Source organism: Homo sapiens, chromosome X, assembly GCF_000001405.40.
Source record: "Homo sapiens chromosome X, GRCh38.p14 Primary Assembly".
Lineage (NCBI taxonomy): Eukaryota > Metazoa > Chordata > Mammalia > Primates > Hominidae > Homo > Homo sapiens.
The window spans coordinates 24,706,635-24,730,690 of record NC_000023.11 but is presented as its reverse complement, the minus strand read 5'-3'; the positions used below and the strand labels follow the sequence as shown (position 1 = coordinate 24,730,690).

Here is a 24,056-nt window from a genome sequence, read left to right as displayed (position 1 = left end):
TGAGTCCTTTTGACATATCTTCAGTAGATTTTAATACTGTCGTTGCTTTCTGGTATAATAAGATGTTCCAGACTTATCCTGGACATTTCCTTCCCTGAATCTGCCATTACTCCAGAGCGCCCAATTTCCTTTTATTAGAAAATGGGGTTGGGCATGGTAGCTCACGCCTGTAATCCCAGCACTTTGGGAGGCCAAGGTGGGCGGATCACTTAAGGTCAGGAGTTTGGGACTAGCCTGGCCAACATGGGGAAACTCCGTCTCTACTAAAAATATAAAAATTAGCTGGGCATGTGGTGACGCACACCTGTAATTCCAGTTACTCAGGAGGCTGAGGCAGGAGAATCACTTGAACCCGGGAGACAGAGGTTGCAGTGAGCGGAGATCGCATCACTGTACTCCACTCCAGCCTAGGCAACAGAGCAAGACTCCATCTCAAAAAAAGAAAAAAAAAGAAAAGAAAATGGAATGTGGAAACCTCATTCTGGACACTAGAGGTGGATACTTTCTTAAAATTTTAACTACTAATTAAACTTCTCCCAAACACTTAACTATGAACTATGGCCATCTACAGTATTAACTATTATTAAAAGATCACGCCGGGTGCAGTGGCTCACGCCTGTAATTCCAGCACTTTGGGAGGCTGGGGTGGGCAGATCACTTGAGGTCAGGGGTTCAAGACCAGCCTGGGCAACATGGTGAAACCCCGCCTCTGCTAAAAATTAACCATGTGTAGTGGCCCGCACCTGTAATCCCAGTTACTCGGGAGGCTGAGGCAGGAGAATCACTGGAACCTGGGAGGCAGAGGCCACAGTAAGCTGAGACTATGTCACTGCACTCTAGCCTGGGCAACAGAGTAAGACTCTGTCTCAAAAAAAAGAAAGAAAAAAAGATCAAAACACATACTAAAAAAAAAAATCAGAAAATACTGAAAACACTGACAAAATGCTGTTAAAAAAGATCCCTATCAATGTCAAAAGGACTTAGGAAGTTAAAACATAACAACAAAAATAAATAAATAAATAAAGCATCAGTCACGACTGCATGTAATATAGGTCCCAACTTCCTACTAGGACAACTGGCAATTAAAGAGAAGGAAGTAAGCATTTATCCTGTCTTTCCTGTGTAAACCATTATGGCATAACCAAATAATACTGGCTAAAGAAAAAAATTTAATTTTATAGAAAAATTTAAAAACCATGGACAGAATTTTTAAAAAATCACCATTTTACGACTTCTAATGAAATTAACTAATTCCGGCAAAAATGACTAATAAATGAAGCCATTAGCTCAGTGGTTCTCAACTGGGGGTAATTTTATACACACATACACATCCCCTGACCCGGGGACATCTGATGATGTGTTTGTAGGCATTTTTTGGTTGTCACAACTAGAGGGGACGGATGCTACTGGCATCTAGAAAGTAAAGACCAGGGATGCTGTTAAACATCCTACAATGCCCAGGACAGTACCCCACAAAAGCATTATCCGGCCCAAAATACCTGTAGTGTCAAAGTTAAAAAACCTTAGATGAAAAACTGATGGAGAATTACAATAGTTATCATTCATTCAACTGCTAATCAGACACAGACTCACTAATAGCAGGTTATTTTTTTCCACTGATCCCAGCCTTTGTCAACTAATAGCAGCTTAACCAGACATTGTGTCTTCTGATATGATGCAATATGAAGTACACTGCATCACCTATAAAGCATTTTGGCTAAAAAAGTTGAACCTGAATCTAATTTGATCCTTTAGAGCTCACTTATAGTATGCGGAAATATGAAGGATAAGGCAGGGTCAGCACACTTTTTCTTTCAAGAGCCAGACAGTAAATATTTTAGGCTTTGCAGGCCTAAATATGGTCACCGTTACTACTCAATTCTGCTGTCATAGTGCAAAAGCAGCTGTAAACATGCTGTCTTCCAGTGAAATTTGACTTGCACAAATAGGTAGCAGGCTGGATTTGGCTCACAGACAATTGATTGCCTGCCAACCCCTGGTATAGAGGAAAAGTCCAATGACACCACAACAAAGCAAATAAATAGAGAAAACGGGATATTCTACAAGACAACCAACAATGATTCTTTAATTATTCAATGTCATTAAAAAAACTGGAGAGTAGGAGTGAGTTCTTCCTGTTTAAAAGAGATTCAAGAGGCACATAGATTAAATACCATCTGCGAATCTTGTGTGAATCCTGATTCAAACAAACTGAGTTTTAAAAGGCATCTTGAGAGACAGAGTCATGTAAGTATGGACTGGGTATTTTAGATTATACCAAGGAGTCACTGTTAATGTTATTAGGTGTGCTAATGGTATTATATAAGAAATACCACATTTTGAGAGAAGCATACCAAGGTTCACAGGGAAAATGACACAATGTCTGAGACTAGCTTTAAAATACTTCAAGAAGAAAAAAAGGAGGGAAATAAACAAGTGTAACAAAATCTTGCTAACTGCTGAATATGAGTGATTGGTATGGGGAGTTCATTTTATTATTCTGTCTGTGTCCATTTGAAGCTCTCCTAAGTAAAAAATTTAATAGACAAAAATAAAAATAAGTTCAGCAATTTAAGTCTTTAAGAAAAAACTCCAACACTAGACAAATTCAATTCATTCTCTATAAGAGTTTAGTAGTGAATTAGTATTCTTTCCCCTCCAAAAAGAACAACTTTCTCTTAAAGCAAAGCTGTGCAAGTTCAGGCAAGTAACACATCTAAGGCATGGGTACAAAATCTGTCCTATTTTTTAAACCTCATTTTGATGGTTCTTTGCATTCTGCATTGTCTTCATGCTGAAAGCCATCACGACAAGCGGTGGTGGACTGACATCCTTAATTACATTCACCAGGTCTGGTTTCAAAGCCATTGCCTCAACTTTACACCAACTGACTGGCTGATTCAAGAGCTCTGAAAGAGAATAGATACAACAGATCAATAGCTATTTACTGAAAAAGAAAAACTACTATAATTAAGACATCTGTCATTAACTGGCATATTCTTCAACCCTGCCTTCTAATAAGAATGACATATTGTAACATCTAACTAAAAATAAGCCACATTATTGGGTTGTATGCAAATCCTCACGTGTGTGTACATATGTTCATTTTCCTGGGAAAGAGGTCTATAGCTTTCATCAGATTCTCCAAAGCATCCAGGACCCAAAATAGGTTTTAAAAAAACTGAAACACTGCCTTGGAGGAATCATGAAACATTTTTAAGACAAAGCAGACTATCATAGAAGCAATTACTGAAAAACATCAGGTAACAGGAAAAACATGCACTATCCATATTGAATAGTGATTCTCCTCTCCTTCAAAGGTCAGCAGTTCACTATGCACAACAGCTGGGCCACATCAGCCAGGTCAGAAGTACATATGAATAACAGCATAATGAGGGATGCACCCCAAACTAAGGCCTCCCTCAGACTAAACCGCCAGGCATTACCGAGATAAGGTGATTCCAAATGTACTCCCTATACTCACTCAACGAAAACTGAAGAAACAAACAGAAAAGGAAGTAGACACATTAAAATAAATAGATCAATTTCCTAACTTCCCTTTTAAAAACCACATCTATCAGCAATCTATTCAGCATTCTGAGCATGTATTTTTCCTTACGTGGACTTTTTACTTCAAGCCAACAAGGTCCTTTGATCTTTCTGTTCATCAAGAACAGTTCCAGGCTAGATGTGTTGGTCCCAAATACATGAGAAAAAGTTTCTCCTTTCAAATCTTGAGGAAGCTGTGGCATTTCAGCCTGAAAAAGGAAAAAAAAAAAGAATCTTTTTGTTTAAAACTATTACTTTGCATTTTCCAAAGTCTATATTTGAAATAAACAAAAGCCTCTCTATGAAGCACAGAAGAAAACCCCTTTGATATATATGAAATGTAATTTGCCACAAATGAAATCCAAAACAATTCACAGTAGGAAACAAAACCAATTCACAATGACAAAATAATGCATCTTGATGACACCCATTAGAAGAAAAATAGGCCAAGAAGCTCCCCCAAAAGAAAATTTCTGTCCAGAGCTGTACATGCTTTACTGATAAAGAATAGCCAAGTAAGTACCACTCCATTAGAAGAATGAAAGCAACAGAGTGGAACTCATTGAAAATACTTTTCATCACCACTGTCAGAAATAGTTCTTAAAAGTTTTCCTTTTCCAACGTTGTGGGAACAAAACACTAGAACAGAGGTAAAAAGAGGTTAAGGTCCAGTTAATTAACATCCTATAGCAATGACCTTGCCTGTCACAGGAGCAAGAGCAGCACTATAGCAATGCTACTGACACTCCTCTCTCACCTTTCCACTGCTCATAAGGGACACTTCAGCAGACTAATGATGTCCAACTCCATCATGTGGCATTCATTCCACTTGACAAACAGTCGTGCTGTTTCAACTTATTTATTTAAAGATGCATACTCAAAAGCAGAGAAAGGCAGTGTAACCTGTAGTCTATATACTTAAATTAATTTTATCCATTTCAATTATTCATTACTATAAATCCACCTCAATGAACTGTGGGCTTGAGAAGCCCTGCCAATACTCGTAACTGAAAGTCAGTTGAAAGTTCAAAAACAGAAAAATGTCATTCTCAAGCAAAACCCAGTAATTTTCTTTGTTTGACTTACCGAGTATTTAACTTCCAAGTACTCAGATTTTTCTGGAACATCAGGTATCTCAAAAGCATAGTTCTTTTCCACTGGCTGGGTAAGTAGATATTTTAAAAAATCCTTAAGACAAAAACTTCACAAACTAACCAGTATTACAATACATGCTCTTGTATTTAATCATCAAGAATCCTTATGGAACACAAAGGTAAATGAAGCCAAAAAGGTACCCTTTCCTCTTTCAATTGGAACTAAAACAACCAGTGTCAAAATGCTAAAAGGACTCATCTTGGACACTACAGAACTCAGAAATATTTGCATGCAAGAGGGGCAATAAAAATTTAAAATTTTTTACAATGTTAATGCATTAAATGATTTGCTACTATTTGATATTAAGCAACTCCATCTTGCTAGATTAATAATTAGCATTATAATTATAGCTTATATTTACTGAGTGTTGGCTATCTGGCAAGGACTGCTCTCATCATCTAATATGAATTAATGGATTTAACCCTTCCGGCAACTCTTGAAATAGGGCCCTATTTCTCAGATGAAGAAACAGGCATAAAGAAGTCATTCGGCTGGGCACGGTGGCTCACGCCTGTTATCCCAGCACTTTGGGAGGCCGAGGCGGGCGGATCACTTGAGGTCTGGAGTTCAAGACCAGCCTGGCCAACATGGTGAAACTCCAGCTCTACTAAAAATACAAAAAAAATTAGCTGGGCATTGTGGCGGGTGCCTGTAATCCCAGCTACTCAGGAGGCTGAGGCAGGAGAATTGCTTAAACCCAGGAGGTGGAGGTTGCAGTGAGCCAAGATCGCACCACTGCACTCCAACCTGGACAACAGAGCAAGACTCCATCTCAAAAAAAAAAAAAAAAAAAAAGTAGTCATTCAGCACTTGTCCAAGTTACATGCTAGTAAGTAATAGGGCTAGGACTTAAACCACAAGCAGTCCGGCCTCAGCACCTAAGCTCTTCACCAGTATATCACAATTGCTTCTAGAATTATAAAGACTTGACTCATCAGCGGCAATTCAAAACTCAAATAGTTAATACTGTTAGCCTTATCTTCAGCAACTCAATCCTTCCTGCGATCATTATTAATAGCCAGTATTTTGAGCAGGCTATAGCCCCCACGATTATGGCCAAAGACATCAATATCTCACTAAAATCAAGACAATGTATCATAACTAGCACATGAACCAGAGATTTTCATTCTATCAGACTGTATCATAGTCCCTGACTTTTAAAAATAAAACCTTACTTAACTTTCTAACCAAAACATCTTGGCAACAACTAATATAAACGAGATCAGAGCAGTTTCTTCTGCACTTGGGAATGAGAGCACAAGACATGTTGCAAGCACCAGAGGCAATTAATTTGCTATGGATTGTCTTTCTATTCAAATTAATAAACATTATTTTATAAGCAGTTTAAAGAGAAAGAAAAAATATTTTTGCAAATCTAATATACTGTTTTTACATTCATACCTATGAAATTTCCATTCAATAAATTATAGCTGCACAGAAGGCATTTTACACAAAGAAAATATGCAATAACTATTTGCTAAATCAGAAAATAAACAACAAACAGAGCTGGAAAAAAATCATCGCCAAATACAAACCTTAGACTTGAACTTCATAATTTTATATTTTGTTGCTATTTTCTCATCAAATTCCTCATAAACATCCTTCATTGAAATTGGAGTTCCTGTTTCTTTCCCCGTATTTAGATCAATTTTCTGTTATCCCAGAGAAGGGGACAGAGGGGAAAAAAAAGTATCTGTACATAAATGATCTTCTCAACCACCAAAAATCCAAGTCTATATCAATTTTCATCCTCACCCATTTAAACATTTAATAGCAGTCTTACAGATAAGTTCAAAGATACAAACAGACCCAAAAAATGTACTAAACCAAATGCCCAATTCCTCCCAATGGCATCATAAAAAACAAATCAGCGATAAAGATGATCAAGTCTACAAAATGGAAGAATAAGTGTTGTAAATCCTGACCAAGAGACTCCACAGTTCAACTGATATAGGGAGGGGCTGAGAGGGAAATGGGGATGTTAAGTCCCAATAAAAAAGGAGAAGCAGACTGAGCGCAGTGGCTCATGCCTGTAATCCCAGCACTTTGGGAGGCCAAGGCGGGCAGATCACAAGGTCAGGAGTTTGAGACCAGCCTGATCAACATGGTGAAACCCTGTATCTACTAAAAATACAAAAATTAGCTCAGTGTGGTGGCAGGCGCCTGTAATCCCAGCTACTCGGGAGGCTGAGGCAGGAAAACTGTTTGAACCCAGAAGGCGGAGGTTGCAGTGAGCCGAGATTGTGCCATTGCACTCCAGCCTGGGCAACAGGGCTAGGCTCCGTCTCAATAAAGAAAAAAAAAGAAGCAAATAGAATTGAACTTGTTAATAAATGGCAATGGAGGGAATATCACTGCTGCCTATGCAGCAAAACCATGAAAACTGGGCCAAATGCCATGTCACATTTTAGAGACTTATAGTTCCAACCCTGATTATTATGGAAATGAGGAGTGAGAGAAAGAAAGCATTATATACTAAATCTCAGAAACTTTTATACTCTAACTAGTTGAAAAACTGAGTTCTACTTTATTTTTTCTACTTTTCCCAACCTCTAATAGAATTGCTGACAATCAGTGGTCACCAGGCAAGCAGCAAGAAAGAAGCATCAGGATTGTAGAGAATTTGTAGCCCTATTGAAAGAGAGAGAGCTGGCTGCAAAACACAGAATGTGTGGCAGATACAACGACTGAGAACTAAAAGCTAATCACTAATGTTTACCATTTCACGGGGAAGGAAGTAAAGCGTTCGCTCGATATTTTTCACCATGACACAACAGCTCACATGGGTCTCGGCTGATTCAATCCAAACTTTCCCAAACAGAAATACCACACCTGAAAGAATAAGTGAAAATCACGAGAAAAGAAACATTTCAATTTCACCTAATTAAAGGAACAATATAGAGGCTCACTGAATGTGTCCACACATTTATACCTTCATGATAACTCATTTTGACAGCAAATATATCCATTTCCCACTCCCCAAGACCAGTTCTTTACTCAGTACTGATGCCATACTACACTAACACAATGATACAGTGTATGACCACTGGGAGGACAGGGGACAGAATGATTCTCTAACTTGCATAAACACTTTCCCCACAACCAGGATTATACAGATTAAGAGAAACAAAACAGGCCGAGCACAGTGGCTCATGCCTGTGATCCCAGCACTTCGGAAGGCCGAGGTGGGCAGATCGCTTGAGCTCAGGAGTTTGAGACCAGCCTGGTCAACACAGCAAAACCCTGTCTCAAGAAAAAAAAAAGAGAAACAAACATAAGGAAAGTATTTTCCAACAAATCTCATAATTAAGCCTCTTGTGAGATTACAGATCTGAGAATATAATTCTAATTTTTTAGCGCTTGTATTTACCTATAAAAACCAATATTCATGTATCAGGATAACTAGTGCATCAGTGTTTTTCTATATGTAAAACTGTGTTTACAAAAAACATAATTTACTTCTTATTTCTTATTCCATATAATAATAAATACCTCACAATAGGGACTACTATTATCTTCTATTTCACCTTTTCTACCTCACAGCTACTTAGGACATCTAACTAGGTAAGTGTTTATAATGTTCCTTTCTATTCTATTTCAGTAATTTAAGTAATGAATACCATAAAGTAAAACCACACCTTTTTAGACATCAAATCATTGTTTATGAAAATTGGCCACGAAGAACAGACTGCAAACATTTGTTAGTCAACCCAGGAGATGGTCACTGTGCAAAATCCTGGGCTCCATGAATAATTAGACAGCAGTAATCAACAAAGCCACTCAACACAGCCACTTATCTGAGACACTAAGAAAATTCTGGTACATGCAAAGGCTACTGTTCACAAGGTCAATTACCCCAGTTTGAAAGACTACTCATCAGTGACTCCTTTTTTCACACATCCTGGTAGAAATAAGACGATCTAAGAATTTTCATTTCTGCAGATGATTAAAATTCTTACAAGAGTTGTGAGACTTTCAGCTTGAGGGGGTAACGGAGGGTGGATGGGGAGGGAGAGGGAAGGAAGGACTATGGGAAGATTAAGAAAGAAAAAAAATCACAGTAACTCAGAAAATTAAAAGTCATCCTCACAACAGTTAAAGATGGAAAAACAAAATGCTATGCAAAGAAAAATAAAGACCCTAATATTGGATTCAAAGATTCAAATAAGCTCATTTTACTGTCAAACTAATATCACACTTCATGCAACACATTTGACACTGTTTATGCCTCATTTGACACAACAAAGATCATGGTAAACAAAGATCACATTCCCCCCAAAGTTACTAGCTGAAACCAGGTGCAGTCAGGATTATTCAACCTTGAAAAAGTCATAATGAAGACAGGATATCTTCCCATATGCAAAGAGTAAGATTCTTTTCATAATTATGGAGCATTCAGCAACAACTGACTTACTTAGAATCTGTTAGAAAGTGAGAAACAATAACAGGGTCTTTTGGAGTACTTCATTTTTATTAGCAGCATTGATTTCACCAAAGCTCAGTGATCATTACCTGCTATCACAATGAAAGTGTTCAACACTCTGAGATTAAAGGAGTTTTTTTAAGCTATCTTATTTAACCCGTTGGCATCAATAACAGAGAAGATGTGCCATAGGAGAGAACACAACTTGAGAAGTACCACGGAACCAGAACAGCAGAGTGGACTGAGGGTGAGAAGCCCAAGCTTCTACCACTAAAGAGCTATTATATCTTTCAGAGCCTCAGTTTCTTAAGTGCATAACTAGACTAGATGATCTCTGAGGCCTTCTCCAGCACCAGAAATTTCATTCTGCCTTAGCATTTGGATGACAGATCAATAACAAATTAGTATCTCTTTCAATTGCAAAATATTTTCCAATATTGGTTGAAAAAGCCTATCCATGACTATGGTCAGTACCAGGAATTCAACACCATCATATATCATAAACTGGTTGCTTTGCAAATATAACTGTGCTTCAATGCTTCAATCTTCCAACACTTGTCACTACAGACCAGCACTAGTTGAAATAAATTTCTGTGATGATGGAATTGTTGTTTCTGAGCCATCCAATATGGTAGCTACTAGCCACAGTTGCTATTGAACACCTGAAATGTGGCTAGTGACCAAGAAAATAAATTTTAATTTGTATTGCATTTTAATTAATTTAAATGTAAAGAGCTACAAGTGGCTGGTGGCTACCACAGTGGACAATGCAGCTCTAGATCCTTACCCTGCAAAACAATGCTCTGTTTACTAAGAGTATCAGCCAGTAAACGAAATGTAGAAATAACCAACTCATTTTCAAATAAGAAAGAAAGAAGGTTGTTGCTTCTTAAGGTTCTAATCCTTGGCAACTGACGCTGGCAATATGAAGCCTTATGGATGTATTTACTTTGTGGGGTTGTGGGGGAGTGGGGAACCATTTGCTTTTGTGTTACGCATTCTCATACCCCACAAAGCTACAAGGCATTAAGATGCAAACTCAGGAATAGTAGCAAATGCAACACTAGTCTCTGAAATTTTTCACCTGCATCTACAGGACTGTCAGTCACTGTGCAGTTTATTTCAACAACTATTTATTAAACACGTACTATGTGCAAGGCATTGCTGCTGGATGCTGGAAATAAAAGATCCCAGCCCTCCAGGAGCTTACAGGCTTTGTGGCAAAGAAAAACACAGACTCAGTTCATTTCAAAATAATAGGACAAACGCTACAGTGGGAAAGGCTATGATGTAGTCACAAGGAGAAAGGGCTCCTAGACCCGTCTGGAGGTTTAGGTACACTCCCAGGAGATAACATCTGGGCTGAATTTTAAAGAATGAGTCAGATGAGCACATTCCAATCAGACAAAAAACAAGGAGTAAAGGAACACAGGTATAAAGAGCAGAAAAGTACATACAGAGAATTATTTCTAGGGAACAAAATTCATAGACAGCAGGCATCAGAAGCCTTGCTAAGCAGTTTGGACTTTATGTTGTAGGCAGTAGCCACTGAGGATTTTTTTTTTTTAATGACGACTGACATGGTCAGAATTGCCCTTCTGATCAGTCCCTCTAGCAGTGATGTGGAAGACGATAGCTAAGAGATCAATTAGGAGGCTGGTGCAATTGTTTCAGTGGGCAAGAAGGGATCAGGGTGGTAGATATGAGGAAAAAGAGAAGGTAAGTTGTCCACTTTCGGCAGAGAAAACTAACCAGACTTGGAAAGGAAAGTGAGGAAAAGGAGGGAATCAAGGATGGCTCCCAGGTTTCTGGTTTTGATGGGACCATTAACCAAGATAGGGAATGAAATGCAGCATTGAGCAGATGCAGCAAAGTACGGGGAGTAATACTGGGATAGCCAGGCCAGTGTGCTGCCCAGCTCCAGGGAGCACCAGTCACACTGCTGTGCTCCAGGAAAGTCACGTGAAAATGGTATTCCCTGAGGTTGTACAATGGGGCAGCCCTGGGTTTCAGCAATGGATGGGAAATCATCTGCTTAGCCTCATGTAATCATACTTGCCAGACTTCCAGCAGAGTAACAAAATAGTCAAAGAGGTGAGGGGGTATAATCAAATCATTTTGTCCTAGCTAAAGTAAATTAAGATATCATTTCTAAAATTGATTATATCTTTTCCTAAGAAACTAACACATGGCAGTGTGCTACTCAAGTGGCTCAAGAGTTTATATATATTTGATAAGCTGAAGCATATTAATGCTTCTGACCGCCCCCACCCCTGCCAGAGATCATTAACATTTTTCCAATTAAAGTCAATGCCTGGTTATCTTTAAGGTAAATGTGGCCTTCAATTTACTCACACGCTTGCTTTGCTGACATCTAGGTACTCCCTCTCTTTTCACTAGATACAGCCTCCAGGAAACCGCTTTGAAAAATACACTATTTGCATGTACCACAGATCCAAAAAGGATCTAAATAAAGACAACTCTGTTTAAGAGTGCATACTGTATTTAACATTAATCTGACAGATCTTGCAATGCACAGTCCCACAATGAAGACGGGCTCAAAGAGGCACAAAAGAATACCGAACAGCCTCCGGGCTTTTTGTGAGTCAAGAATTCACAGTATTAGCTCATTAAGATGACCTAGAAATCATCCTTGATTCCTCCTTTCTGTCACCTCCCCCATCCAATCCATTAACAAGTTTGTGTCAAAAGACATGTCAAATGCCTTTACTTCTCTCCTCTCCAGCCACCAGGGTCCAAGTAACTAGCAGCCCTGCCCTGGATTGACTGATCTCCAGGGCTTCCACACTTCCCCATTACCCTACACCAGCCCATCCCTCCACGTGTGTGTGCACACGCACACATGCACCACAGTGCTTATTCTCTACACAAACCACTGTTCCTGTTAAAATGTAAACCCAATTACGTGACCACCACCCCCTGTACTTAAAACCCTCCAATGCCACCCCATTGCTCTTAGAAGATTCAAACTCCTTAACGAGGCTTTCAAAGTCCTACATTATCTGGCCTTTGTCTTTATCTCCAGCTTCATTTTATACCAATCTTGTCACTTGATTACTATGCTACAACCACACAGGCCTCCTCCTTCCTCTCTCTAGGCCTTTGCTAGTACTTGGCTCGTTAAGCTGAAATGCCCTTTCACCAGCTCTGCAAATACCTCAAATCTCAGCCCAGTGGTCATTTCCTCAGACAGGCCTCCCCTGGCCATCGCCCAACTAATTTTCTTTACATCATTTATCAATTTATCTCATTTACTGCTAATGTGCCCCCACCCACTGCCACCCTCCTAGAACATAAGCTCCATTATAGTGCACGAATTTGTCCAGCTTATTCATCCCATCTCAGTGCCTAGCACACAATAGGCATTCAAATTTGCTGAAGAAACAGACAAATTAATGACTGATTCCCTTTAAATTAAAGTGCATTCCTGTAACTTCAGACACATCAATAGTGAACTACAAACACACATTCCAAAACCATATGTAACTGATTTTTGGAATAAGCATCTTTAAGGATTATTCGCACCATAGCTCTTCTCCATCAGGGTGGCGCATTCACTTTACAATGAATGAGTGTCGCTCTCTTACAATACATGTTAAGTGAGGGCAGGGCCTGACCTGAGCTAATTACAGTGACTCAAGTATTTAAGGATAAAGAAAAAAAAAACAGAAATAAACTGATTAAATAAAAAGACAAAACACACAAAAAGAAACAAAAAATAAAATATTTAAGGGAAAAGTCCTACTCTGAGTTAAAGGCATATAGTTACCTTATATATGATTACCTGGTTGGTTGTACTGATCCTCATAAGCATCCAACCAATAAAAGTGGAATACTTGTTCCTCATCTGCCCCTTTTACCAATGGGAGGTGACTGGAATCCACTTGAACTTCTTGCACTGAGAAACTGCTATCACCTTCTTGATCAATGTCCCAACAAGAGACATCCGGGAGAAAACTTCCTCTGCAGAAATCACATTTTCAAAAACCTTTCAAAATCCAACAGAAAAATTGTGGTCCTATTTGCCAGAAAAGTCATAAAATGCTCTTACAAGTAGGACACGGTCCCTTTCCCAGAATCCGCCTCTTGTTTCACTTCCTCTGCTGGCTCACTCTCTTTGTCCCAAGCCTTGGCAGCCATAGGCTCCAGGTCCACCTCTTCAACTTCCATGGGCTCATCAAAGTCACCATCTTCAAACTCCATTGCCCCTGACTCCTGCTCTTCTTCTGTACTCTCGACCTGTACATCATCGCCTGTAGGCATCATCACACATTCTTGTCATGTGTTATTGCGATGACACAAAGGCACACAAAGGCACACAAAGGCGCACAAAGGCTTATCCAACACTAAAATAGCAGCCTGTCCCTTTTCTATACTATGTTTGCATTTCTCTTTAATCTCCAAATTGGGTGTTTTTAACTTTTACTGAAATTTTTATGAATTCAAATCTTCACATTTAAACTTGCCATCACAACACCTTCAAAATCTCCTCTACCTCCTCCATCATAGGGCCTCCATTTTTGACAGAAACCACTCAACACTCTTGCAATTCTGCCTGACATCACACTTACCAGCAAATTCAGCACGTTTAAGAGGAACAGGAGTTAATGGAGGCTCCTTTCTGGAGACAGGGGAAGCAATTTTTCCTGAAGGAACTGCCTGTAAACGTTTTTAAATATTTAGTCAGTTAGACCTACATACTAAAAATATGCAACTGTCCTACCCTGACCAAAGATAATGACAGTTCCCTTTTATAAAAAGATTTTATGTATTATTAATGTAACAGCTTCAATTATTTTACTGTTACCTAGGTTTACAAAAAAATACTTGCTTCTGGGAGGAAAATTATTGCATTTACCACAGTTGTAATACCTATAATAAACACACACTAGTTACTGCAAATTTACTATGAAAAAGGCAGGCACATGCTATTTTTGAAATACATGAAACTATAAATTGAATGGGAGTCCTAATTTAAAACAAAAATCAAAAACAAATGTAAAGGTATTTCCCTCATACAGAAAAGCAACAAAATAAGTTTAAAGCAATACTATAAATCAAGATTGAAGGTATCTCTACACACTTTACCGTGGCGGTGTGCACAGAGAAAGGATTCGGTGAAGCTCCAATGGATCTTTTCTTCTTCAGTATCATTACAGGTGGTGGAGTTATTTGAGGTGTCTAAAAGGAAAGGTAAGACATATTCACTGCCATGCTTGGTTTACCACAGACAGAAAAAGTATACTTCTTCACTCATTGAAGCCCAATAAGCAAAGCTTTCTTTTCTTTCCCTTTCCCCCTCCCCCCTCCCATCGATGTCATGTACTGTGGTTACTATAGCAACAATACTATAGAAATCACAAGAAAACTAAAATAGATATTAAATCTACCCCCTCCCAAATTTTTTCTTCTTAAAATTTAACATACTTTCACTGACCCTTTGAGAATATTACATTTAAAAATTGTCAAGATAAAACTACATGGTGTTGTTGTTAAGTCATTTTAATCAATGGTCACTTTAAAAGAAGTACACTTCTAAATGAGAGCGTAGTCTTTATGGGAAATGGCCAAATCTCAAATTCACAATGCAGCTAATCCTGTTTGAGTTCTATCAGGGATAGTTCACTCACTCTTCCTTCATTCCCACTCAGAATTCAAGACAAGGCTCTTATACCTGATTGTGCAGATTGACAGGCTTCAATCTATTTAGGGAACATACACCACAGCAACTGAACACAAGCAGTGAGCACTCACAGAACTGACTCCTGGGTATATTCTTACTACTTCAAACACACACCCACACATCCCTATCTACATAATCACACAGCTCTAACAGCTGGAAATACTCACCTAAAATGGTGGGATAAAACCAATCTGAAGGGGGTTTCTTTGTTTTTTGGTGGGGGGTTTTTTGTTGGCGTTCTTACATTTTAAAAAATTCTGTCAACAGGCCGGGCACAGTGGCTCACGCCTGTAATCCCAGCACTTTGGGAGGCCAAGACAGGCGGATCACGAGGTAAGGAGTTCGAGACCAGCCTGGCCAACATAGTGAAACCTAGTCTCTAGTAAAAATACAAAATATTAGCCGGGCGTGGTGGCAGGTGCCTGTAATCCTAGCTACTCGGGAGGCTGAGGCAGGAATCAGGGAAGAGGAACCTGGGAATCAGAGGTTGCAACGAGCCAAGATCGCACCACTGCACACCAGCCTGGGCAACAGTGCAAGCTACTGTTTCAAAAAAAAAGAAAAAATTCTGGCAATAGTCTGTTTTGTATAATTACTAGAGTGTTTCTTCAGTCTATGTCCTCTGCATATTTTACAACTCCTGGAGATTCATTTACCTCAGTGTTAAGATCCTGTAGAATGTCACCTAGCAGACCATCCTTGGACAAGTCTACAGCTTTCTGGAAATGATAAAGAAAGGTAACATGAGAAAGCCTTGCACTTAAAATGTCTCACCAAAACTACACACATGTATATGAAAGGAAGGACCTAGCCAGTTAGTCCTTGCCTCTTCATTCCTCACTCTCTGAGTGCTCATCTACATTCACAGATTTTAACAACCACCTGTGTATATAGCATTCCTACATCTATAGCTCCCATCCTCTACTTTCGCCCTTAATCCATGATCTTCCTGCTACTCACTAAAATTAAACACACTCTCAATTCAGCTTTTCTGTTCAATTCTCTTTTCCATTTCGCAAGTTCCAACCACTGAGGTGCCTTAATTCACTTAGAAATCTACATCCAACTTAGTGAGTGAAATTGGAAAAATGTTACTCAAATATATACAGAGCACCTGTTATCTGTATAATCAAATATTAAATTCACCTCACAAAGGAAAATACAAAAAATAAGGAAACCATGAAACTCACATCTGCAGTTTTCTTTCCAGCACAAGCAATGAACATTGACTTAATGTTGTTCGGTTTTGTCACTGCGAGCTTCTTTACATTCCTCTTGTCTTTATTGCGTGCTTTACCATCTTTTCCTATTGGAATATGAATTATTTAGAAACATGCATCAGCAAAAATCAAAATGGAAAACTAAAAGCCTAGTCACTTGATCTCTATTGGGAAGAAAAATGTTAAGAATTAAAAATACATCATGCCTGTATTCCCAGCACTTTGGGAGGCCAAGGCGGGAGGATCACGAGATCAGGAGATCGAGACCATCCTGGCTAACACAGTGAAACCCTGTCCCTACTAAAATACAAAAAATTAGCCGGGCATGGTGGTGGGCGCCTGCAGTCCCAGCTACTCCAGAGGCTGAGGCAGGAGAATGGTGTGAACCCAGAAGGTGGAGCTTGCAGTGAGCCAAGATCACGCCACTGCACTCCAGCCTGGGCGACAGAGCAAGACTCCATCTCAAAAAACAAAACAAAACAAAACTATGAGATTCTATACAAGGTATGTAGGAAAAAATATTTTAAATGAGTTTAATTCAAGAAAACATGGGCCAAATGTTTTTATAGAAACTAATGAAATACCAGTTAAATATCAGCATAAGTGTGACTGCTTAACTGCTATTGTTAATGTGAATAAAAAGCTTTTTAAAAAAGTGAGAATTTGGGTTTGTTTTCCCCACAGAAATAAAAAGATAAAGCTAATCTTGAACCAAGAAATTAGCCTAGTAGCCTTCATGAGATCATCTCTTTAGCTGTATACTGAATCTGATAGGAAAATTTAACTGTGAAGAAATGGGATTACCAATTATGATATGGTGGCATCCTAATTTCCATTTTATGAGAAACAGCAACCAGATACACAGTATGTCATATCAACACTAAACAGCACAGAGACATCTGCTCATTAAAGAACAACTTTTGCTGGCCGGGTGCGGTGGCTCACGCCTGTAATCCCAACACTTTAAAAGACCGAGGCGGGCGGATCACGAGATCAGGAAATCGATACCATCCTGGCCAACATGGTGAAACCCCATCTCTACTAAAATACAAAAAATTAGCCAGGCGTGGTTGCCACATGCCTGTAATCCCAGCTACTCGAGAGGCTGAGGCAGGGAAATCGCTTGAACCCCGGAGGCGAGATTGCAGTGAGCTGGGATCGCGCCACTGCACTCCAGCCTGGCAACAGAGCAAGACTCTGTCTTGAAAAAGAAAAAAAACAAACAAAACTTTTGCCATATGTTTTCTCTTACGGCTATGTGTAAATCACCTACAAACTTTTCTAATACCGTCAATTTTACTCTCGCTTTCTGATTCATCCCAGAATAGTCCTGATCTCAAAAAAAAGCCAACAATGAATAATTGAAAGAATGTGGTAGGCCAGGCGCGGTGGCTCACGCCTGTAATCCCAGCACTTTGGGAGGCCGAGGCAGGCAGATCACGAGGTCAGGAGTTCGAGACCAGCCTGACCAACATGCTGAAACCCTGTCTCTACTAAAAATACAAAAATTAGCCAGGCATGGTGGTGCATGCCTGTAATCCCAGCTACTCGGGAGGCTGGGGCAGGAGAATCGCTTGAACCCAGGAGGCAGAGGTTGCAGTGAGCCGAGATCATGCCATTGCACTCCAGCGCTCCAGCCTGGGCAACAGAGCAAGACTCTGTCTCAAAATAAAAAAATAAAAAAAATAAGAATGTGGTAGTGGCATACAAATAGACCAAATGAAACAGAACATAAAGTCCAGAATAAGACCCAATTACTTATGGAAATTTAATATATAATGAAGGTGGCATCCCATATCACTAAGGAAAAGATGGACTTTATTAAGTAGTGTTGGCTAGCCATTTGTAAAGAAGTAAACCAGTATAAACACCAAATGGATCACAAATCAAAATTTTTAAAAATGAAACTTTACAAAAACCTTTTAAAAAGCAATTCCTTTGCAATTTGGGTCCAGTGAAAATCTTTCTATGACTCAGAATCCACTTGCAAGAAAAAAAATGATAAATTCAATTACACCAGAATTGGTGTAAAAAGAAAAACCAAGAAAAAAGAAAACCAAGTTAAAAGAAAAATGAAGAAAAAATTTGTGCAATATGTATCACAGATAAAGGACCAATTTCCCTGACAAAGAACTTTTAAAAACTTAAAAGATAAAAAGCCCAAAAGGAAAGCAGGCAGTAAACACAAACATATATAAATAGTTACGTTTTATGAAAAGATGATCAATTTCATATGTAAAAGAAATGCATATGAGGCTGGGCATGGTGGCTCACATCTGTAATCCCAACACTTTGGGAGGCCACGAGGCGGGCGGAATACGAGGTCAGGAGTTCGAGACCAGCCTGGCCAACATAGTGAAACCCCATCTCTACTAAAAATACAATAATTAGCCGGGCATGGTGGCACACACCTGTAGTCCCAGCTACTTGGGAGGCTGAGGCAGGAGAATCGCTTGAAACCAGGAGGCGGAAGTTGCAATGACCTGAGACCGCACCACTGCACTCCTGCCTGGGTGACAAAGTGAGACTCAGTCTCAAAAACAAACAAACAAAAAAAAATGCAAATGAAAACCACACTGAAATGCCACTTCTCACATATCAGAGTGGCAAAAATTCAAAAGCTTGAAAACACTGTTAGTAAGGCTGTAGAGAAACAGACATTCATACATTGTTCATGAGAGTGTAAAATGGGACAGCTCCTATAAAGAATAGGCAATAGCTAATAAAATTTTATGTGTAGTGGGCTGGGCGTGGTGGCTCACGCCTGTAATCCCAGCACTTTGGGAGGCCAAGGCGGGTGGATCATCTCAGGACAGGAGCTCGAGACCAGCCTGGCCAACATGGTGAAACCCCGTCTCTACTAAAAATACAAAAATTAGCTGGGTGTGGTGGCAGGCACCTGTAATCCCAGCTACTCAGGAGGCTGAGGCGGAAGAATCACTTGAACTCAGGAGGCAGAGGTTGCAATGAGCCGAGATCGCGCCATTGTACTCCAGCTTAGGCAACGAGCAAAACTCCATCTCAAAAAAAAAAAAATTTATGCGTAGCTACTCTTTGAGCCAGCAATCCCACTTCTGGGAATTTTCTCTGAGGAAAACGCCATATGCACAGAGTTATTGGATGTGGCATTATAATAGCAAATTACTCAAAATAATCTAAATGTCCTTCCAAGGAAACCATTTGAATAAACATTGTGCAATCCCTATCATGGAATACTATGCAGCTACATAGAAATAAATAATTAAAAACAAGCTCTCTATGTTCTAATATGGGGTAATTTTCAAGACATCTTGCTACAAGAAAAAAGCAAAGTACAAAACCTCTATAACATTATCTTTTGTTTAAGAAAGAAAAGGGGCCGGGCACCGTGGCTCATGCCTGTAATCCCAACACTTTCCCAGGGCAAAACGGGCGGACTGCTTGAGCCCAGGAGTTTGAGACCAGCCTGGGCAACATGGCGAAACTCTGTCTCTACTAAAAACACAAAAAATTAGCCGAGCGTGGCAGGATGTGCCTGTAGTCCTGGCTACTCGGGACACTGAGGTGGGAGGATAGCTTGAGCCCAGGAGGCGGAGGTTGCAGTGAGCCCAAATCGCACCACTGCACTCCATCCTGGACGACAGAGCAAGAATCTGTCTCAGAAAAAAGAAAGAAAAGGAAATAAAAATACATATACATGCCAGCGCGGTGGCTCACACCTGTAATCCCAGCACTTTGGGAGACCAAGGTGGGCAGATCACGAGGTCAGGAGTTCGAAACCAGCCTGACCAACATGGTGAAACCCGGTCTCTACTAAAATACAAAAATTAGCCGGGTATGGTGGCGCGTGCCTGTAATCCCAGCTACTTGGGAGGCTGAGGCAGGAGAATCACTTGAACCCGGGAGGGAGAGGTTGCAGTGAGCCAAGATGGCACCACTGTACTCCAGCCTGGGTGACAGAGCGAGACTCTGTCTCAAAAAAAAAAAAAAAAAAAACCACAACATATACACAATTTCACTCCTAGGTTAGTACCCTAAAAAATTGAAAGCAGGCATTCAAACAAAAACTTGTACACAAATGTTCATAGTAGCACTACATACAATAGCCAAAAGGTAGAAACAATCCAAATGTCCATCAACTAATGAATAAACAAAACGTAGTACATCCACACAGAATATTATTCAGCAGTAAAAAGGAATGAAGTACTGATACATGCTACTTGAAAACATGATACTTGAAAATCTTCTGCTAAGTCAAAGCCAAACACAAAAGATAAAATACTGCATGATTCATTTATATGAAATGTAAAATGTCCAGAATACACAAATCCATAAAGATAGAAAGCTGACTGATGGTTGTCAGGCTCTGGGGGAAGAGAGATTGGGGAGTGACTGCTAATGGGTACAGGGCTTCCATTTTGGATGATGAAAATGTTCTGGAACAAGATGATGGTGATGGTTGCAAACATTGTGAATATACTAAATGTCACTCGTGGTAAATTTTATGTTATACATATTTTACCACAGTAAAAAAAAAAAAAAAGGCGCCGGCGAGCGCCGCCCGGGAGGCAGCGGCTGGAGGAGCGGACGGGCCCCACGGGGCCCGAGGGCAAGGAGCAGCCGCCTGCCTTGGCCTCCCAAAGTGCCGAGATTGCAGCCTCTGCCCGGCCGCCACCCCGTCTGGGAAGTGAGGAGTGTCTCTGCCTGGCCGCCCATCGTCTGGGATGTGAGGAGCCCCTCTGCCTGGCTGCCCAGTCTGGAAAGTGAGGAGCATCTCCGCCCGGCCGCCATCCCATCTAGGAAGTGAGGAGCGCCTCTTCCCAGCCGCCATCACATCTAGGAAGTGAGGAGCGTCTCTGCCCGGCCGCCCATCGTCTGAGATGTGGGGAGCGCCTCTGCCCCGCCGCCCCATCTGGGATGTGAGGAGCGCCTCTGCCCGGCCGAGACCCCGTCTGGGAGGTGAGGAGCGTCTCTGCCCGGCCGCCCCGTCTGAGAAGTGAGGAGACCCTCTGCCTGGCAACCACCCCGTCTGAGAAGTGAGGAGCCCCTCCGCCCGGCAGCTGCCCCGTCTGAGAAGTGAGGAGCCTCTCCGCCCAGCAGCCACCCCATCTGGGAAGTGAGGAGCGTCTCCGCCCGGCAGCCACCCCGTCCGGGAGGGAGGTGGGGGGGGTCAGCCCCCGCCAGGCCAGCCGCCCCATCCGGGAGGGAGGTGGGGGGGTCAGCCCCCCGCCTGGCCAGCCGTGCCGTCCGGGAGGGAGGTGGGGGGGTCAGCCCCCCGCCTGGCCAGCCGTGCTGTCCGGGAGGGAGGTGGGGGGGTCAGCCCCCCGCCCAGCCAGCCGCCCCATCCGGGAGGGAGGTGGGGGGGTCAGCCCCCCGCCTGGCCAGCCGTGCCGTCCGGGAGGGAGGTGGGGGGGTCAGCCCCCCGCCCGGCCAGCCGCCCTGTCCGGGAGGGAGGTGGGGGGGTCAGCCCCCCTGCCCGGCCAGCCGCCCCGTCCGGGAGGTGAGGGGCGCCTCTGCCCGGCCGCCCCTACTGGGAAGTGAGGAGCCCCTCTGCCCGGCCAGCCGCCCCGTCCGGGAGGGAGGTGGGGGTGTCAGCCCCCCGCCCGGCCAGCCGCCCCGTCTGGGAGGGAGGTGGGGGGGGTCAGCCCCCCTGCCCGGCCAGCCGCCCCGTCCGGGAGGTGAGGGGCGCCTCTGCCCGGCCGCCCCTACTGGGAAGTGAGGAGCCCCTCTGCCCGGCCACCACCCCGTCTGGGAGGTGTGCCCAACAGCTCATTGAGAACGGGCCAGGATGACAATGGCAGCTTTGTGGAATAGAAAGGCGGGAAAGGTGGGGAAAAGATTGAGAAATCGGATGGTTGCCGTGTCTGTGTAGAAAGTAGAAGACATGGGAGACTTTTCATTTTGTTCTGCACTAAGAAAAATTCCTCTGCCTTGGGATCCTGTTGATCTGTGACCTTACCCCCAACCCTGTGCTCTCTGAAACATGTGCTGTGTCCACTCAGGGTTAAATGGATTAAGGGCGGTGCAAGATGTGCTTTGTTAAACAGATGCTTGAAGGCAGCATGCTCGTTAAGAGTCATCACCAATCCCTAATCTCAAGTAATCAGGGACACAAACACTGCGGAAGGCCGCAGGGTCCTCTGCCTAGGAAAACCAGAGACCTTTGTTCACTTGTTTATCTGCTGACCTTCCCTCCACTATTGTCCCATGACCCTGCCAAATCCCCCTCTGTGAGAAACACCCAAGAATTATCAATAAAAAAATAAATTAAAAAAAAAAAAAAAAAAAGTATTTTCATGAGCCTAAGATTGTGAAAAGGATTGTAGGACATTTGTGAAAAATGTGAGACAGGAGATCTGTATCATCTGGAGCACTCTGAAAACAGAATGTAATTAATAGTCAAAATGTTTAGTATATAAAATTCAGGTCTTGATAGTGTATGAACAGAGGAGGTCAACAGAGGTTTGAATAGCAAGGAAGGCTTCATGAGAGGGCTTTAATCTCACCACTGTAGGTTGGCAGGATTTAGACAGAAGGATAAAAATTTGAATACAAGTAAATATTTGAGGTGGAATTCTTCCACAGTTTAGTGTTTCTGTTTTGTTTTATTGCATTTTCCTGCTAATTTTTCTTCACTGGGACTTGGTTGATATTTTTCTCTATGGTTTTGTTTTGTTTATTCCTGTCACCCAGGCTGGAGTGCAGTGGCACGATCTTGGCTCACTGCAACCTCTGCCTCCCGGGTTTAAGAGATCAAGAGATTCTCAGCCTCCCAAGTAGCTGGGTTTACAGATGCCCACCACCACGCCCGACTAATTTTTCTATTTTTAGTAGAGATGGGGTTTCACCATATTGGCCAGGCTGGTCTTGAACTCCTGGCTTCAGGTGATCTGCCCACCTCGGCCTCCCAAAGTGCTGGGATTACAGGCGTGAGCCACCGCACCCGGCCATTTTTCTCTGTTTGAAAACAACATCCCAGGAATTAGAGCCACACCATAGTTGACTTTTTACTTCTAAGCAAAACTTAGTAATTTCTTATAAGCCTTTAAAGTACATTGCAGAAGTCCATTTTCCTTCCTAGGATCTTGTGACCTTACTGGGCTCCTAGTAATGGACACTAAAACAGTGGGGACTTGTGGGTGAATGGTGGTGGCAAAGCACGAAATAAAAATTTCTAAGACTAGCTCTCTTCCAGATCAAATCATTCTCTTCAGTAACTTATTACTCGGAAGAGATAATATGATGACTATGGAAACACAGAGATGGCTCCTTTATTCAACAAAACTACATATTTACTTTGAGTCCACTACTGTGATTAGCACTGAGATTACCAGGACATGAGTCCTTTCTTTGAGAAGCTCACTGTCCATTCCAACTTCCTAATTTACAGCTGACAAAAACTCAAGTCCAGATAGGTAATGGGATTAGTTCAAGATGACACCGCCAATTAACAATAGAACCGTAACTCTAACATAGGCCTCCTCAGTTCAGGGAGATGAAAGTGGCACATGAGCTCATTCTCTTCTTCATGGACTCACACAAACTAGAAATACACAATTGGCCACATTGCTACCAAATGGTACCAGTGTAGAAAATTTCCACATTATACAGGTTGGCAGAACCAGGAAGATGGTTCACATATTCTAATTTAACTAATAAATCAATGAATAAATAAATAACATCACACAGAAAAAAATACATATGCTTATTTTTTTGTAATAAACCAGAAACTAATAAAAAAGTTACTGATTTTCATTTTTAAATCATATGTTTTACAATATTCAGAAGTAAAATTAAAAGGTTTTAAAACTGAAATTTGAATACAAACAAAAAATGAACCTACATAGTAAATCAATACAAAACACACAAAAAATTACTTTATATAGCTTCTGAACACAATACTCTGACTATAGACCCTTAGGATATATAACAAGAACAAATAAAACTGTAGAGAAATCATAAATTTTACTTAGAAAGGTTGTTAGTACAGATATTGATTTAGTGATTCTGACATTATTTTGTGTGT

General features: G+C 41.3%; 1 protein-coding gene across 16 annotated transcripts in view; it reads right to left on the bottom strand.

Annotated features, from left to right (window-relative positions):
* The window catches only part of POLA1 (DNA polymerase alpha 1, catalytic subunit), a 303,069-nt gene that overhangs the window by 266,296 nt on the left and 12,717 nt on the right, over positions 1-24,056 (bottom strand). For 15 of the 16 annotated variants that reach the window (NR_165483.1, NR_165482.1, NM_001440806.1 and 12 more), the window contains 11 exons: positions 16,022-16,137; positions 15,488-15,550; positions 14,237-14,329; positions 13,720-13,807; positions 13,200-13,401; positions 12,933-13,111; positions 7,424-7,536; positions 6,240-6,356; positions 4,636-4,710; positions 3,620-3,758; positions 2,755-2,909 (listed from right to left, as the gene is read on the bottom strand). Coding sequence is in view for 14 of the 16 variants with exons in the window: in NM_001440806.1 (NP_001427735.1) it covers positions 2,755-2,909; positions 3,620-3,758; positions 4,636-4,710; positions 6,240-6,356; positions 7,424-7,536; positions 12,933-13,111; positions 13,200-13,401; positions 13,720-13,807; positions 14,237-14,329; positions 15,488-15,550; positions 16,022-16,137 (1,340 nt within the window). In the remaining 2 variants the exon portion in view is untranslated. The remainder of the gene's footprint in view (positions 1-2,754; positions 2,910-3,619; positions 3,759-4,635; positions 4,711-6,239; positions 6,357-7,423; positions 7,537-12,932; positions 13,112-13,199; positions 13,402-13,719; positions 13,808-14,236; positions 14,330-15,487; positions 15,551-16,021; positions 16,138-24,056) is intronic. The other variant, NM_001378303.1, reaches the window with a different exon arrangement.